The following is a 16,391-nucleotide window of genomic DNA, read 5'->3' as shown; positions in this document are numbered from 1 at the left end:
TTGTATGTACATTGGATATATGTATAGAAACAATATTATAAATTTTTAAAGGGTGTAAAGAATTTTCAGGCCTTATATAATTGATTTTGCCTTGGGGTCATTTTTCTTCCCACTCACCCCATGTGGATCATACAGGCCCTGGTTTACCTTCTGTTACCTTACTGAAATTGCAAGCACACTGCATGTTCCTGGAGTTTGATCTCCCCTCTTGGTTGTTAACCTAGTGCTGCAAACATTTTAGTATTTAGAGGCTTTCCCTTGGCAAAGGTGTTCCCACAGCTGACAGCTGTGATATAGCTGGAGATTAAATGATAAGGACAACAGTCTCATTAATATAAATAGACAGATGACTGCTGTGGTAAAAAGTACTACTGAATAGAGAGTACAGCCCAAGCAGTTTGGGAACTCCCTATTTCCGGATCTCAGCAACCCTATAGGGGAGCTCATCGTGTTTTATGAGAATGGCTGATGAAGCAGTATTGAATAACCTGTTATTGATTTCCTAGCTGCATCAGTATGATCCCTTTTTCTGGTATTTCGTAAGGTATAGTTTTTAAATGTAAGATTGTCTCAAAACATTCTAGACTCTGTAAGATGATACCACTATTAGATGTCAGCTAGTAGAGGCCAGGAGCGGTGGCTTATGCCTGTAATCCCAGCACTTCAGAAGGCCAAGGCGGGCGGATCACCTGAGGTCAGGAGTTCTGGACCAGCCTGACCAACATGGAGAAACCCGGTCTCTACTAAAAATACAAAATTAGAGGCCGGGTGCGGTGGCTCATGCCTGTAGTCCCAGCACTTTGGGAGGCCAAGGCAGGTGGATCACCTGAGATCGGGAGTTCGAGACCAGCATGACTAACATGGAGAAACCCCGTCTCTACTAAAAATACAAAATTAGCTGGGCATGGTAGCGCATGCCTGTATTCCCAGCTACTTGGGAGGCTGAGGAAGGAGAATCGCTTGAACTTGGGAGGTGGAGGTTGCGGTGAGCCAAGATCGTGCCATTGCATTCCAGCCTGGGCAACAAGAGAGAAACTCTGTCTCAAAAAAAAAAAAAAAAAAAAAAAATTAGCCAAGCGTGGTGGCACATGCCTATAATCACAGCTACTCGGGAGGCTGAGGCAGGAGAATCACTTGATCCCAGGAGGCGGAGGTTGCCGTGAGCCGAGATCTCGCCATTGCACTCCAGCCTGGACAACAAGAGCAAAACTCCATCTCAAAAAAAAAAAAAAAAGAAAAAAGAAAAAAGAAACAAAAAAAGAAGTTAGCTATTAGAGGCTGGGCACGGTGGTTCATGCATGTAATCCCAACACTTTGGGAGGCCGAGGCAGGTGGATCACCTGAGGTCAGGAGTTCGAGACCAGCCTGGCCAACATGGCAAAACCCCGTCTCTACTAAAAATACCAAAAAAAAGTTAGCCAGGCGTGGTGGTGCACACCTGTAATCCCAGCTGCGCGGGAGACTGAGGCAGGACAATTGCTTGAACCCAGGAAGGGGAGGCTGCAGTGAGCCCAGATAACGCCACTATACTCCAGTCTGGGCAACAGAGTGAGACTCCGTCTCAAAAAAAAAAAAAAAAAGTTAGCTATTAGAGCTTATCTATTAGAGGCTAATCTATTTATTTGGAAAGGTAAGCTTTGTCAGTTTGTAGTAACTCATTTTTTCATGGCCAAAAGTGGGAACAGTGGTTTATCCAAGGAATTATACTTGATTTTACATTCCTTTTGTACTGTTGTTCTCTCTCATTAAAGTAATTAGATTTGGGATGTGTTCTGCTTACCAGCATTTATTCTATTGTTGGGATCTGGCACCATATCCATGCCCCACTTCATTGAAATTGCTAAGTAAAAAAATGACAGTAGCTTTGCCACTTACTTCCTGTAACACTTTATGTTTATTAGCAGTCTGGTTTTAGCCTAAAAGTCACAACTTTTTTGGAAGTTTTCCCTAACCAGTCACCCCAGATTAGGCACATGCCTCTAGGTTAGAGTCCTGTCACCAGAGATTGATCACACTTGATTGTGATTGTTAGACAACTGTCTCATTCAATAGACTGTCAGTTTCTGGAGGGCAGAGATCTTGTCTCTGTTGTTCCTCTTTTAATCCCCAGTGTCTAGCATCTCAGAGACACTTGTTGAATGAATTCATTAACGACTGGCTGAATAATGAGCAATTCATGAAAAAACACTTTATATTCACAGGTTTTGGGTAAGACAGTAGCTCCCTTAAAACACACACACACTCTTCATGGTATGTCACAGAACTACAGTCTACACTCAGTGCAAAGGGTTTCAAAATCCAGTAGGAAGGACAAATATTGTCCCTCTTCTGTCCTTGGAGAAGATATTGTGCAAGTGTGGAGTTCTCCTGGAGAAATATTCTTTTTTTTTCTTTGAGATGGAGTTTCACTCTTGTTGCCCAGGCTGGAGTGCAATGGCACGATCTTAGCTCACTGCAACCTCTGCCTCATGGGTTGAAGCAATTCAAGACCTGCCTTAGCCTCCTGGGTAGCTGGAATTACAAGCACCCACCACCACATCCAGCTAATTTTTTGTAATTTCAGTAGAGATGGGGTTTCACTATATTGGCCAGGCTGGTCTCGAACTCCTGACTTCAGACAATCCACCCGCCTCAATCTCCCAAAGTGCTGGGATTACAGGTGTGACCTCCCCCCTCCCCCGCCGGTGAAATATTCTAAAAGGAGAATAAGATGGTATGCACACTTGTGCTTTTTCCCATACCAAGGTCAGTGGTGCTGAGAGCCGTGTAGTACAATGATACTGTGGTGTATCTGGAATTGGTGGGTTCTTGGTCTCACTGACTTGAAGAATGAAGCCCCAGACTCTCATGATGAGTGCTACAGTTCTTAAAGATGGTATGTCCGGAGTTTGTTCTTTCTGATGTTCAGACGTGTTTGGAGTTTCTTCCTTCTGGTGGATTTGTGGTCTCACTGGCTTCAGGAGTGAAGCTGCAGACTTTCACAGTGAGTATTACACCTCTTAAGGCAGCGCGTCTGGAGTTACTCATTCCTCCCATGGGTTCATGGTCTCGGTGGCCTCAGGATTGAGGCTGCAGAGCTTCACGAAGAGTGTTACAGCTCATAAACTCAGTGTGTACCCAAAGAATGAGCAGCAGCAAGTTATCTCAAAGATCAAAAAAACAAAACTCCCATAGCGTGAGCGTGGAAGAGAACCTGAGCCAGTTGCCACTACTAGCGCAGGCAGCCTGCTTTTATTCCCTTTTCTGACCCCACCCACATCCTGCTGATTGGCCCATTTGCAGAGAGCTGATTGGTCCATTTTACAGAGCGCTGATTGGTCCATTTTACAGACAGCTGATTGGTCTGTTTTGACAGGGTGCTGATTGGTGCATTTACAATCCCTGAGCTAGACGCAGAGTGTTGATTGCTGTATTTACAATCCTCCAGCCTGAGGTAAAAGTTCTCCAAGTCCCCACTAGATTAACTAGACACAGAGCACTGATTGGTGCATTTACAAACCTTGAGCTAGACACAGGGTGCTGATTGATGCGTTTACAAACCTTGAGCTAGACACAGACTGCTGACTGGTGTGTTTACAAACCTTGAGCTAGACACAGAATGCTGATTGGTGTATTTACAATCCTTTAGCTAGACATAAAGGTTCTCCAAGTCCCCACTAGATTAGACACAGAGCACTGATTGGTGCATTTACAAACCTTGAGCTAGACACAGGGTGCTGATTAGTGTGTTTACAAACCTTGAGCTAGACACAGAGTGCTAATTGGTGTATTTACAATCCTTTAGCTAGACATAAAGTTTCTCCAAGTCCCCACCAGATTAGCTAGATAGAGTGCTGATTGCTGCATCCATGAACCCTGAGCTAGACACAGAGTGCTGATTGGCGCATGTACACTCCTCCAGCTAGACATAAAAGTTCTCCAAGTCCCCACCCAACTCAGGAGCCCAGCTGGCTTCGCCTAGTGGATCCTGTGCTGGGCCGGGGCGGAGTTGCCCGCTAGTCCCGCTCTGCGCAGCTGCACTCCTCAGCCCTTGGGCGGTCGATGGGATGGGGCGCCGCGGAGCAGGGGGTGGCGCCCCGTCGGGGAGTCTCCAGCCCCGCGAGCTCACGGTGTAGGGGGAGGGTGTTCAGGCATGGCGGGCTGCAGATCCCTAGCCCTGCCCTGCGGGCAGGTGCTGAGGCCCGGCAAGAATTTGAGCGCAGAGCAGGTGGGCCTGCAGTGCTGGGGGACCCAGTGCACCCTCCACAGCGGCTGGCCAGGGTGCTAAGCCCCTCACTTCCTGGGCCCACGGCGCCAGCCGGCCGCTCGGAGTGCGGGGCCGCCAAGACCCCGCGCACCCGGAACTCGCGCTGGCCCTCGAGTGCCATGCGCGCAGCCCCAGTTCCTGCCTGGGCCTCTCCCTCCACACCTCCCCGCAAGCAGAGGGAGCTGGCTCCGGCCTCAGCTAGCCCAGAGAGGGGCTCCCGCAGTGCAGCGGCGGGCTGAAGGGCTCCTCAAGCGCAGCCAGAGTGGACGCCGAGGCCGAGGAGGCGCCCAGAATGAGTGAGGGCTGCTAGCACGTTGTCACCTCTCAGTGGTTTAGAACCAGGGCTTTTAAGACCGGGCACAGTGGCTCACACCTGTAACCTAGCACTTTGGGAGGCAGAGGCAGGCAGATCATGATGTCAGGAGTTCGAAACCTGCCTGACCAACATGGCAAAACCCCGTCTCTACTAAAAATACAAAAAATTAGCTGGGCATGGTGGCACGCGCCTGTAATCCCAGCTACTCAGGAGGCTGAGGCAGGAGAATCGCTTGAACCCGGGAGACGGAGGTTGCAGTGAGCTGAGATCGCACCACTGCACTCCAGCCTGGGCAAAAGAGTGAGACTCCATCTAAAAAAAAAAGAAAAAAAAAAGAACCAGGGCTTTGAAGTCAGTGGGTTCAAGCCCTACTCTGCTATTTATTAGGCCATACTGTGAAGTTTGGACAAGTTACTTGACTTCTTGAAACCTGGTTTTTCTCATTAGTAAAATGGAGATAATGTTAGCATATTCATAGATTGTGAGGTTAAATAACAAGTGGTGTGTATAAAGTTCGTGGTGTGAAGGAAATGCTCGATAAATATTGATAATGACGATAATGATGATGATGATGATTTTTGTGAGAAAAGAGGGATTATAAAAGACTGCTCCTAGCCAACCTTTTGCCCATGAGGGAAATCTACAAGCTCAGTCCTTGTGAAGCTGGGGTTTTGGGTTCCCAGAGGCCTCAACCACTCCTTTTCCTGTGATCTTGTGGCTGGGATGACAGTGCATCAGCAGAGGATGGATCGTTTCCTGCAGGCTCAGCCCACACTCCGTGTAGCAATCTTGGGGGATTTCTGTCTGGAAAACAGTCTGGCGGTTCAATCCACAGACAGTCCCCCAACCTTCCTCTATATCTTATAGAGGAGGTGGGAAAACGAGGAACACTTGAATGAGAGGCCGTGCATATATGAGTTGCCTACAAAATCTGTCATTTTTGGAGGTATTATTTGAAGGGAACGTTTATTTATTTATTTATTTATTTTTTTTTTTTATTTTTTTTTTTTTTTTTTTTGAGACGGAGTCTCGCTCTGTCGCCCAGGCTGGAATGCAGTGGTGCAATTGTAGCTCACTGCAACCTTGATCTCCTGGGCTCAAACCATCCGCCTGCTTCAGCCTCCTAAAGTGCTAGGATTACAGGCGTGAGCCACCACACCCAGCCATTAAATTTATAATGAAACTTTGGCCAGGCTCGGTGGCTCACGCCTGTAATCCCAACGCTTTGGGAGGCTGAGGCTGGCAGATCACCTGAGGTGGGGAGTTCGAGACCAGCCTGGCCAGCATGGTGAAACACTGTCTTTACTAAAAATACAAAAATTAGCTGGGCGTGGTGGCAGGCGCCTGTAATCCCAGCTACTCAGGAGGCTGAGGCAGGAGAATCACTTGAACCTGAGAGGCAGAGGTTGCAGTGAGCCAAGATCACACCATTGCACTCCAGCCTGGGCAACAGAGCGAGACTCCGTCTCAAAAAAAATAAAAAAATAAATAAAATAAAATTAGCCGGGTGTGGTGGCAGGCACCTGTAATTCCAGCTTCTAGCTACTCGGAAGGCTGAGGTAGAGAACTGCTTGAACCCAGGAGGTGGTGGTTGCAGTGAGCCGAGATCATGTCACTGCACTCCAGCCTGGGTGACAGGCAAGACTCCATCTCAAGAACAAAAAAAAAAGCCAGGCATGGTGGCCCACGCATGTAATCCCAGCACTTTGGGAGGTTGAGCTGGGTGGATCACGAGGTCAAGAGATTGAGACCATCCTGGCCAATATGGTGAAACCGCGTCTCTACTAAAAATACATGGCATTTTCTGTTCTTGTCTTTACAAATTACCCCCTGACTCATGATAGATACATGACTTGGCCACATCCTTTGCTGTGTGAGCCACTTTTTTTTTGAGACGGAGTCTCGCTCTGTCACCCAGGCTGGAGTGCAGTGGTGCGATCTCAGCTCACTGCAAGCTCCGCCTCCCAGGTTCACGCCATTCTCCTGCCTCAGCCTCCCGTGTAGCTGGGACTACAGGCGCCCGCCACTACGCCTGTCTAATTTTTTTGTATTTTTAGTAGAGACGGGATTTCACCGTGTTAGCCAGGATGGTCTTGATCTCCTGACCTCGTGATCCGCCCGTATCAGCCTCCCAAAATGCTGGGATTACAGGCGTGAGCCACCTTGCCCGGCCGGCAGGAGAATCTCTTGAAGCCGGGAGAAGGAGGTTGCAGTGAGCCAAGATGACGCCATTGCACTCCAGCCTGGGTCACAAGAGCAAAACTCTGTCAAAAAAAAAGAAAGAAAGAAAAGAAAGAAAGAAGGAAAGAAAGGAAGGAAGGAAGGAAGGAAGGAAGGAAGGAAGGAAGGAAGGAAGGAAGGAAGAAAGAAAGAAGAAAGAAAGAAAGAAAATTTAAGGCCAGGCACGGTGGCTCACGCCTGTAATTCCAGCACTTTGGGAGGCTAAGGCAGGTGGATCACTTGAGGTCAAGATTTCGAGACCAGTCTGGCAAACATGGTGAAACTCCATCTCTACTTTAAAAAATACAAAAATTAGCTGGGCGTGGTGGTGCATGCCTGTAATCCCAGCTACACATGGGGCTGAGGGAGAATAATCACATGAACCTGGGAAGTGGCGGTTACAGTGAGCTGAGATCTCACCACTGTACTCCAGGCTGGGTGACAGAGCAAGACTCTGTTTCAAACAAAAGAAAATTTAGGCCAGGCACAGTCGGCTCACGCCAGTAATCCCAGCACTTTGGGAGGCCGAGGCAAGTGGTTCATGAGGTCAGGAGTTCAAGACCAGCCTGGCCAATATGGTGAAACTCTGTCTCTACTGAAAATGCAAAAATTAGCCAGGCAGCCAGGCTCAGTGGCTCATGCCTGTAATCCCAGCACTTTGGGAAGCCAAGGAGGGCGGATCATGAGGTCAGGAGTTCAAGACCAGCCTGGCCAACATGGTGAATCCTCGTCTCTACTACAAATACAAAAATTAGACGGGCATGGTGGTGGGCAGCTGTAATCCCAGCTACTTGGGAGGTTGAGGCAGGAGAATCGCTTGAAGCCAGGAAAAGGAGGTTGCAGTGAGCCAAGATCACGCCATTGCACTCCAGCCTGGGTCACAAGAGCAGAACTGTCTCAAAAGAAAAAAATAAAAAGAAAGAAATAGAATTTAAGGCCAGGCACGGTGACTCATGCCTGTAATCCCAGCACTTTGGGAGGCTGAGGCGGGTGGATCACTTGAGGTCAGGAGTTCGAGACCAGCCTGGCCAACATGGTGAAACCCCATCTCTACTTAAAAAAATACAAAAATTAGCTGGGCATGGTGGTACATGCCTGTAATCCCAGCTACACAGGGGGCTGAGGCAGAATAGTCACTTGAACCTGGGAGATGGAGGTTACAGTGAGCAGAGATCACACCACTGTACTGCAGCCTGGGCGACAGAGCAAGACTCTGTTTCCAAAAAAAAAAAAATGTAGGCTGGGCTCAGTGTTTCACGCCAGTAATCCCAGACCTTTGGGAGGTCGAGGCGAGTGGATCAGGAGGTCAGGAGTTCAAGACCAGCCTGGCCAAGATGGTGAAACTCTGTCTCTACTAAAAATACAAAAATTAGCTGGGCATGGTGGGTGGTGCCTATAATCCCAGCTACTCGGGAGGCTGAGGCAGAGAACTACTTGAACCCGGGAGGCGGAAGTTGCAGTGAGCCTAGATCATGCCATTGTGCTCCAGCCTGGGCAACAGAGCGAGACTCCACCACAAAAAAAAATTAAAAAAAAAAAAGAAAATTTAAAATCTGGTAACACGCAATAGTAAAAAAAAAAAAATAGAAGACAAAGCTGAGAGCAGTGGCATATGCTTATAGTCTCAGCTACTCTAGAGGCCGAGGCAGGAGGATACCTTGAGTCCAGGAATTCAAGTCCGGCCTGTGCAACATAGAGATCCCTATCATATCTAAAAATAATAAAATTGAAGACAATCTATCCATCAATTGGGAAAAGTTAATTAGATTACCATAATTAATACTATGGAATACTATTCCACCATAAAAAGCGTGAGTTAGATCGAGTTAGATCTGTATGTCCCTATGGAAGAACTACCACAGCATTGTTGAGTTAAGAAAGCAGGCCAGGTGCAGTGGCTCACGCCTGAAATCCCAGCACTTTGGAAGGCCGAGGCGGGTGGATCACGAGGTCAAAAGATCGAGACCATCCTGGCCACCATGGTGAAACCCCATCTCTACTAAAAGTACAAAAAAAAATTAGCCGGGCGTGGTGATGCACACCTGTAGTCCCAGCTACTTGGGAGGCTGAGGCAGGAGAATCGCTTGAACCTGGGAGGCAGAGGTTGCAGTGAGCCGAGATCGCGCCACTGCACTCCAGCCTGGCAAAAGAGCAAGACTGTCTAAAAAAAGAAAAAAAAAAGCAAACTACAGTATAAAGTGGGTTACAGAAAGTCTCAATGATGTATTCATATGTAAAAAATTAAAGGAGCTGCACACTTAAATGTGCACTATTTATTGTAAGTTATACCTCAATAAAAGGTTTTCTTTAATCTTCATAAAATTTTGGGGTGTGTGTGTGTGTGTGTGTGTGTGGTTAGAATGCAGTAGCTTGGCAGGGCGCAGTGGCTCACGCCTGTAATACCAGCACTTGGGAGGCTGAGGTGGGTAGATCACCTGAGGTCAAGAGTTCAAGGCCAGCCTGGCCAACATGGTGAAACCCTGTCTCAACTAAAAGTACAAAAAAATTAGCTGAGCATTGTGGTGGACGCCTGTAATCCCAGCTACTTCGGGAGGCTGAGGCAGGAAAATCGCTTGAACCTGGGAGGTGGAGGTTGCGGTGATCCGAGATCGCGCCATTGCACTCCAGCCTGTGCGACAAGAGCAAAACTCTGTCTAAAAAAAAAAAAAAAATTGCAGTGGCTCACACCTGTAATCTCAGCACTTTGTGAGGCTGAGGTGGGAGGACTGCATGAGTTCCAGACCAGCCTGGGTAACGTCTCAAGACCTCATCTCTATTAAAAAAAAAAAAAAAGAAAGAAAGAAAAAAGATCTAGACAGATGAGTAACACATTTTTAACAGCAGTTACTTAGTTATCCCTGTGCAATTGCATGAGAAAGTGAAGGAAGATTCTTTCACTTTTTGCTTTATACTCTGTCACATTATTTACAGTTTAAATAAGCATATTTTGCTTTTGTTATCAACAACAAAGAAATAGAAAAAAATCCTTTGTCTTCTGTGGGGTTCCCTAAATCACTCCATTGACATTCCTGCTGCCTTCAATGGCTCTCTGTGGGAAAAGAAAATGAAGTGAACACCTGTCAAAGGCTTCATGCAAATTGTGCCTACTCCAGATAGTGTGATTGCTGATTTCCCTCTAATTTACATTAAGGAAATTGAACTTTTGGTTGAAGTCGGTCTTCTTTGAAGAAGGAAGCAGACGACATTTAATGCTATGGGCCTATTGTCACTTCAGCACTGCTCTCAGGAAAGAATTGGGATCTGGTGGCGAAGACCGGCGTGAACCGTATCACTTTTTAAATGCCTAAAGGCTGGTTTTGAGAGGCCCGAGTCGCTAGTGAGAAAGCTGCCTCTGCAGCCAGGCCCCTCCCTGGCGGCCCGAGGCTCCGTCCGGTCCCCCGTGTCGTCGCCGGGGCAGCTGGCGCCCTCCGGCGGGGTAAGGCCAGGACCAACCAGAACAGCGCCCTTCCTCTGCAGCCCGCCTACTGACGTGCAATCCAGGATCTACGTGGGTATAGAGGGAAGCTGGGCCCACGGAAGGCAGAATGGCCAAAGAGATGGATATAAAGTGGAGCGGGGAAAGGAGGACACCCTAACAGTTTGGCAGCTCACTGTGCCAAGCGTTCATCTTCCAGAATAATGTAACTAATGTAGGGTATATGTTCTCCATTAGTTCATAAAGGAGGGGTGTCACACAAAGTTTACCTTCTTCCCCCAGCCCCATGAAAATTTCTTTAATATTTTTGTTTAATTTAAAAAGTAACATATGCCAGGCACGGTGGCTCACGCCTGTAATCCTAGCACTTTGGGAGGCTGAGGCAGACGAATCACGAGGTCAGGAGTTCGAGACCAGCCTGACCAACATGGTGAAACCTCGTCTCTACTAAAAATACAAAAATTAGCCAGGCATGGTGGCGCGCGCCTGTAGTCCCAGCTTCTCAGGAGGCTGAGGCAGGAGAATCGCTTGAACCTGGGAGGCAGAGGTTGCAGTGAGCTGAGATCAGGCCACTGCACTCCATCCTGGACGACAGAGCGACTCCGTCTCAATGAACAAATAAAAAGTTACATATGTTTGTGTAAACTATTAAAACAACACAGAAACAAACCCATACAGTTGGCTTATTTTACTTAGCATGATGTCTTCTAGGTTCATCTATGTTGTAGCATGTGTAGAATTTATTTCCTTTTTAAGTCTGAATTATATGGATATTTATTATGTTTATCCCTTCATCTGCTGATGGACACTTGGGTTACTTCTACCTTTTGGCTATTGTGAGTAATGCTGCTATGAACCTGAGTGTTCTATAAAGAACTTTTATTTGTCAAAACTATGTCATGCCATGCCAGGCGTGGTGGCTGACCCCTGTAATCCCAGCACTTTGGGAGGCTGAGGCAGGCTGATGATTTGAGGTCAGGGGTTTGAGACCAGCCTAGCCAACACGGCAAAACCCCATCTCCACTAAAAATACAAAAATTAGCCACATATGCTTGCTTGAACCCAGGAGGCGGGGTTGCAGTGAGCCGAGATCCTGCCACTGCACTCCAGCCCAAGGTGAAAGAGTGAGACTCTATCTCCACAAAACAAAACAAAACAAACTGTATCATGCCATAGGTTAACAAAATAGTAGGTTAGGGAGTTTCTCTTAATAGAATTCTTCCAGGCTGAGTGTGGTGGCTCATGCCTGTAAGCCTGTTTCTCTACCACTCTACCTTCCCAGGAATAACTATCACTAACAAATGGTACTCGTGAATTCACACTTTTTGTTGTTGTTGTTGAGATGGAGTCTCGCTCTGTCGCCCAGGGTGGAATGCAGTGACACCATCTCAGCTCACTGCAACCTCCGCCTCCCAGGTTCAAGCAATTCTCCTGCCTCAGCCTCCTGAGTAGCTGGGATTACAGGTGCACGCCACCATGCCCGGCTACTTTTTGTATACTTAGTAGAGATGGGTTTTTGCCATGTTGGCCAGGCTGGTCTTGAACTCCTGACCTCAGGCGATCTGCCCACCTCAGCCTCCCAAAGTGCTGGGATTACAGTTGTGTGCCACCATACCCGGCTAATTTTTGTATTTTTAGTAGAGACAGGGTTTCACCATGTTGGCCAGGCCAGTCTCCAACTCCTGAACTCCAGTGATCCGCCATCCTCAGCCTCCCAAAATGCTGGGATTACAGGTGTGAGCCACTGAGCCCGGAGACTTTTTATTTTTATTATTTTTTTTTTGTAGGGTTGTTCTAGTTATGTTGCTCAGGCTAAACTCCAACTCCTGGAGTCAAATGATCCTCCCACCTCAGCTACTGAGTAGTTCTGACTACAGGTGCCAGCATTGAGCCCTATGTGTACCTTTTTTTTTTTTTTTTTTTTTTGAAATGGAGTCTAGCTCTGTGGCCCAGGCTGGAGTGCAGTGGCCCGATCTTGGCTCACTGCAACCTCTGCCTCCTGGATTCAAGCAATTCTCCTGCCTCAGCCTCCTGAGTAGCTGGGATTACAGGCGCCCACCACCATGCCTGGCTAATTTTTGTATTCTTAGTAGAGACGAGGTTTCACTGTGTTGGCCAGGCTGGTCTCGAACTCCTGAACTTGTGATCCGCCCACCTCGGCCTCCCAAAGTGCTGGGATTATAAGCGTGAGCCACCATGCCCGGTCCCCCCGCTTTTTTTTTTTCTTCGAAACAGAGTCTCACTTTGTGGCCCAGGCTGGAGTACAATGGCCAGATCTCAGTTCACTGCAACCTCCATCTCTCAGGTTCAAGTGATTCTCCTGCCTCAGCCTCCCAAGTAGCTAGGATTACAGGCACATGCTACCACGCCCAGCTAATTTTTGTATTTTTAGTAGAGACAGTGTTTCACCATGTTGGCCAGGCTGCTCTCGAACTCATGACCTCAAACAATCCACCCGCCTTAGCCTCCCAAAGGGTTGGGATTACAGGGATGAGCTACCGTGCCCAGCTGCATCCAGACTTTTTTTTTTTTGAGACTGAGTTTTGCTCTTGTCGCCCAGGCTGGAGTGCAGTGGCACGATCTCGGCTCACTGCAACCTCCACCTCCAGGTTCAAGCAATTCTCCTGCCTCAGCCTCCCGAGTAGCTGGGACTACAGGTGCCTGCCACCATGCCCAGCAAATTTTTTTTGTATTTTTAGTAGAGATAGGGTTTTGCCATGTTGGGCAGGCTGCTCTCGAACTCCTGACCTCAGGTGATCCGCCCACCTTGGCCTCCCAAAGTGCTGGCATTACAGGCATGAACCACCGTGCCTGACCCAAACTTTTTAATGTAAATATTGTATACACAAATATAGACACTGTATGTCATAGTGGTTAAGAATACAGGCTAACAATCAAACCTGCACATTGGTTTCCTCTAAGGTATACTGGGATAATAACAGATAATTAGATAGCTATTATTCTTTTTTTTTTTTTTTTTGAGATGGAGTCTTGCTCTGTCGCCTAGGCTGGAGTGCAGTGGCACAATCTTGGCTCACTGCAAGCTCCACCTCCCGGGTTCACGCCATTCTCCTGCCTCAGCCTCCCGAGTAGCTGAGACTACAGGCGCCCGCCACAACACCCAGCTAACTTTTTTTTAAACAAAGATGGGTTTATGTCACATAGAAGGTTATGTCGATGTACTATTTAAATGTTATTTTTAAAAATATTTATAGATTCACTGGAACTAGCAAAAATAGTACAGAGAGTTCCAGTGTTCCCTTCATCCATTTTCCCCCAATGGTTACATCTTATATAATTATAGTATAGCCCGGCGTGGTGGCTCATGGCTGTAATCCCAGCACTTTGGGAGGTCGAAGCAGGCTGATCACCTGAGGTTGGGAGTTTGCGACCAGCCTGGCCAACATGGTGAAACACCATCTCTACTAAAAATACAAAATTAGCCAGGCGTAGTGGTGCATGCCTGTAATCCCAGCTACTCGGGAGGCTGAGGCAGGAGAATCGCTTGAACCCAGGAGGCGGAGGTTGCAGTGAGCCGAGATTGTGCTATTGCACTCCAGCCTGGGCAACAAGAAAGAAACTCCGTCTCAGAAAATATATACATAGTACAATGTCAAAACAAGGATATTGTCCGGGCACAGTGGCTCACACCTGTAATCCCAGCACTTTGGGAAGCTGAGGCAGGTGGATCACTTGAGGTCAGGAGTTTGAGACCAGCCTGGCCAACATGGCGAAACCCAACACGATATCTACTAAAAATACAAAAATTAGCCAGGCATGGTGGCGGGCACTTGTAGTTCCAGCTACTTGGGAGGCTGAGGCAGGAGAATCGCTTGAACCCGGGAGGCAGAGGTTGCAGTCAGCCGAGATCGAGCCACTGCACTCCCGCCTGGGTGACAGACGGTGATCCCGTCTAAAAAAAAATAAATTAGGAAATTGATGTTGGTACAATGTGTGTATATAGTTTTATACCATTTTATCATATGTACAGATTCCCGTAACCATCACCATAATCAAGATACAGAACTATTCTATCACCACAAAGATCTCCCTCATGTCATCTCTTTAGAATCACACACATACACCCCTATCTCCCTAAGCCCTGGCAATTACTAATGTATTTTCTGTCTATAATTTTGTCATTTTGAGAATGTTATATAAATGGAATCATATAGTATGTGACCTTTTGAGATTGACTTTTCTGGCCAGGTGCGGTGGCTCATGCCTGTAATCCTAGCACTTTGGGAGGCCGAGGCAAGTGGATCATGAGGTCAGGGTTTCGAGACCAGCCTGACCAACATGTTGAAACCCCGTCTCTACTAAAAATACAAAAATTAGCTGGTCGTGGTGGTGGGCGCCTGTAATCCCAGCTACTCAGGAGGCTGAGGCAGGAGAATTACTTGAACCCGGGAGGTGGAGGTTGCAGTGAGCTGAGATCGCACCACTGCACTCCAGCCTGGGCGACAGAGCGAGACGCCATCTCAAAAAAAAAGAGATTGACTTTTCTCAGTCACGTAATTCCCTTGAGATCCATCTAAATTGTGTGCGTCAACATTCGTCCCTTTTGTTGCCAACTAGTATTTCATTCTGCAATGTACTTAAACATTTTTTTATTGTAGTAATATACATATAATGAAAATGCTTTTTTTTTTTTTTTAGATGGATTTTGCTCTTGTTGCCCTGGCTAGAGTGCAATGGCATGATCGCTCACCGCAACCTCCGCCTCCTGGGTTCAAATGATTCTCCTGCGTCAGCCTCTGGAGTAGCTGGGATTACAGGCATGCGCCACCATGCCCGGCTAATTCCTTTGTATTTTTAGTAGAGACAGGGTTTTTCCATGTTGGTCAGGCTGGTCTTGAACTCCTGACCTCAGGTGATCTGCCCGCCTCGGCCTCCCAAAGTGCTGGGATTACAGGCGTGGGCCACTGTGACCAGACTCTGTTTTATATATATATATTTTACCAAGGGATTCTACCCACATTGGTAGAATCCCTCAGTATTTGTCTTTTGGAATACTGGCTTATTTTACTTAGCATGATGTCTTCTAGGTTCATCTATGTTGTAGCATGTGTAGAATTTCTTTCCTTTTTAAGTCTGAATTATATGGATATTTATTGTGTTTATCCCTTCATCTGCTGATGGACACTTGGGTTACTTCTACCTTTTGGCTATTGTGAGTAATGCTGCTATGAACTTGAGTGTTCTATAAAGTACTTTTATTTGTCAAGACTATGTCATGCCATGCCAGGTATGGTGGCTCACCCCTACAATCCCAGCACTTTGGGAGGCTGAGGCAGGCTGATGATTTGAGGTCAGGGGTTTGAGACCAGCCTAGCCAACATGGCAAAACCCCATCTCCACTAAAAATACAAAAATTAGCCACATATGCTTGCTTGAACCCAGGAGGCGGGGTTGCAGTGAGCCAAGATCCTGCCATTGCACTCCAGCCCAAGGTGAAAGAGTGAGACTCTATCTCCACAAAACAAACAAACAAACAAACAAAAAAACTGTATCATGCCATAGGTTAACAAAATAGGGAAGGTTTCTCTTTTTTTTTTTTTTGAGACGGAGTCTCGCTCTGTTGCCCAGGATGGAGTGCAGTGGCACGATCTCAGCTCACTGCAAGCTCCGCCTCCCGGGTTCACATCATTCTCCTGCCTTAGCCTCCCCAGTAGCTGGCACTACAGGTGCCCACCAACACGCCCAGCTAATTTTTTGTATTTTTAGTAGAGAAGGGGTCTCACCGTGTTAGCCAGGATGGTCTCAATCTCCTGACCTCGTGATCCGCCCACCTTGGCCTCCCAAAGTGCTGGGATTACAGGCGTGAGCTACCACGCCTGGCCAGAAAATTTCTCTTAATAAAATTCTTCCAGGCCGAGCATGGTGGCTCATGCCTATAATCCCAGCACTTTGGGAAGCCAAGGTGGGTGGATCACCTGAGGTCAGGAGTTTGAGACCAGCCTAGCCAACATGGTGAGACATGGTGAGAACCACTGCACTCCAGCCGGGGTGACAGAGCGAGACTGTCTCAAAACAAAACAAAGCAAAATTAATAAAAGTGATTGTGGCAATGGACAAACAACTCTGTGAATATACTAAAATCGATTGAATCGTACTTTTTAAATGAGTGGATTGCATGGTATGTGAATTTTATCTCAATAAAGCTGTTAAAA

At 47.2% G+C, this 16,391-nt stretch overlaps 1 protein-coding gene across 1 annotated transcript in view, besides 4 other annotated features; it reads right to left on the bottom strand.

Annotated features, from left to right (window-relative positions):
• UBE2D2 (ubiquitin conjugating enzyme E2 D2) overlaps positions 1-16,391 on the bottom strand; it is a 102,195-nt gene that overhangs the window by 74,691 nt on the left and 11,113 nt on the right. The gene's annotated exons all lie outside the window — the stretch shown is intronic.
• Positions 4,201-4,702: an enhancer, noted in NCBI's record as "H3K4me1 hESC enhancer chr5:138928627-138929128 (GRCh37/hg19 assembly coordinates)". NCBI's record gives its function as "activates a minimal SCP1, AML or CMV promoter by ChIP-STARR-seq in naive H9 embryonic stem cells {active_cell/tissue: H9 hESC(naive)}" and the evidence as "EXISTENCE:reporter gene assay evidence [ECO:0000049][PMID:30033119]".
• Positions 10,151-10,712: an enhancer, noted in NCBI's record as "NANOG-H3K4me1 hESC enhancer chr5:138922617-138923178 (GRCh37/hg19 assembly coordinates)". NCBI's record gives its function as "activates a minimal SCP1, AML or CMV promoter by ChIP-STARR-seq in primed H9 embryonic stem cells {active_cell/tissue: H9 hESC(primed)}" and the evidence as "EXISTENCE:reporter gene assay evidence [ECO:0000049][PMID:30033119]".
• Positions 10,188-10,277: a silencer, noted in NCBI's record as "silent region_16414". NCBI's record gives its function as "represses an Ori minimal core promoter by ATAC-STARR-seq in GM12878 lymphoblastoid cells {active_cell/tissue: GM12878}" and the evidence as "EXISTENCE:reporter gene assay evidence [ECO:0000049][PMID:35858748]".
• Positions 13,116-13,312: a silencer, noted in NCBI's record as "fragment chr5:138920017-138920213 (GRCh37/hg19 assembly coordinates)". NCBI's record gives its function as "represses an EF-1alpha promoter that drives an FKBP-Casp9 reporter gene in an ReSE screen in HepG2 liver carcinoma cells {active_cell/tissue: HepG2}" and the evidence as "EXISTENCE:reporter gene assay evidence [ECO:0000049][PMID:32094911]".

Source organism: Homo sapiens, chromosome 5, assembly GCF_000001405.40.
Source record: "Homo sapiens chromosome 5, GRCh38.p14 Primary Assembly".
NCBI lineage: Eukaryota > Metazoa > Chordata > Mammalia > Primates > Hominidae > Homo > Homo sapiens.
The sequence above is the reverse complement of the archived record's forward strand: the minus strand, read 5'-3'. Positions and strand labels throughout refer to the sequence as shown.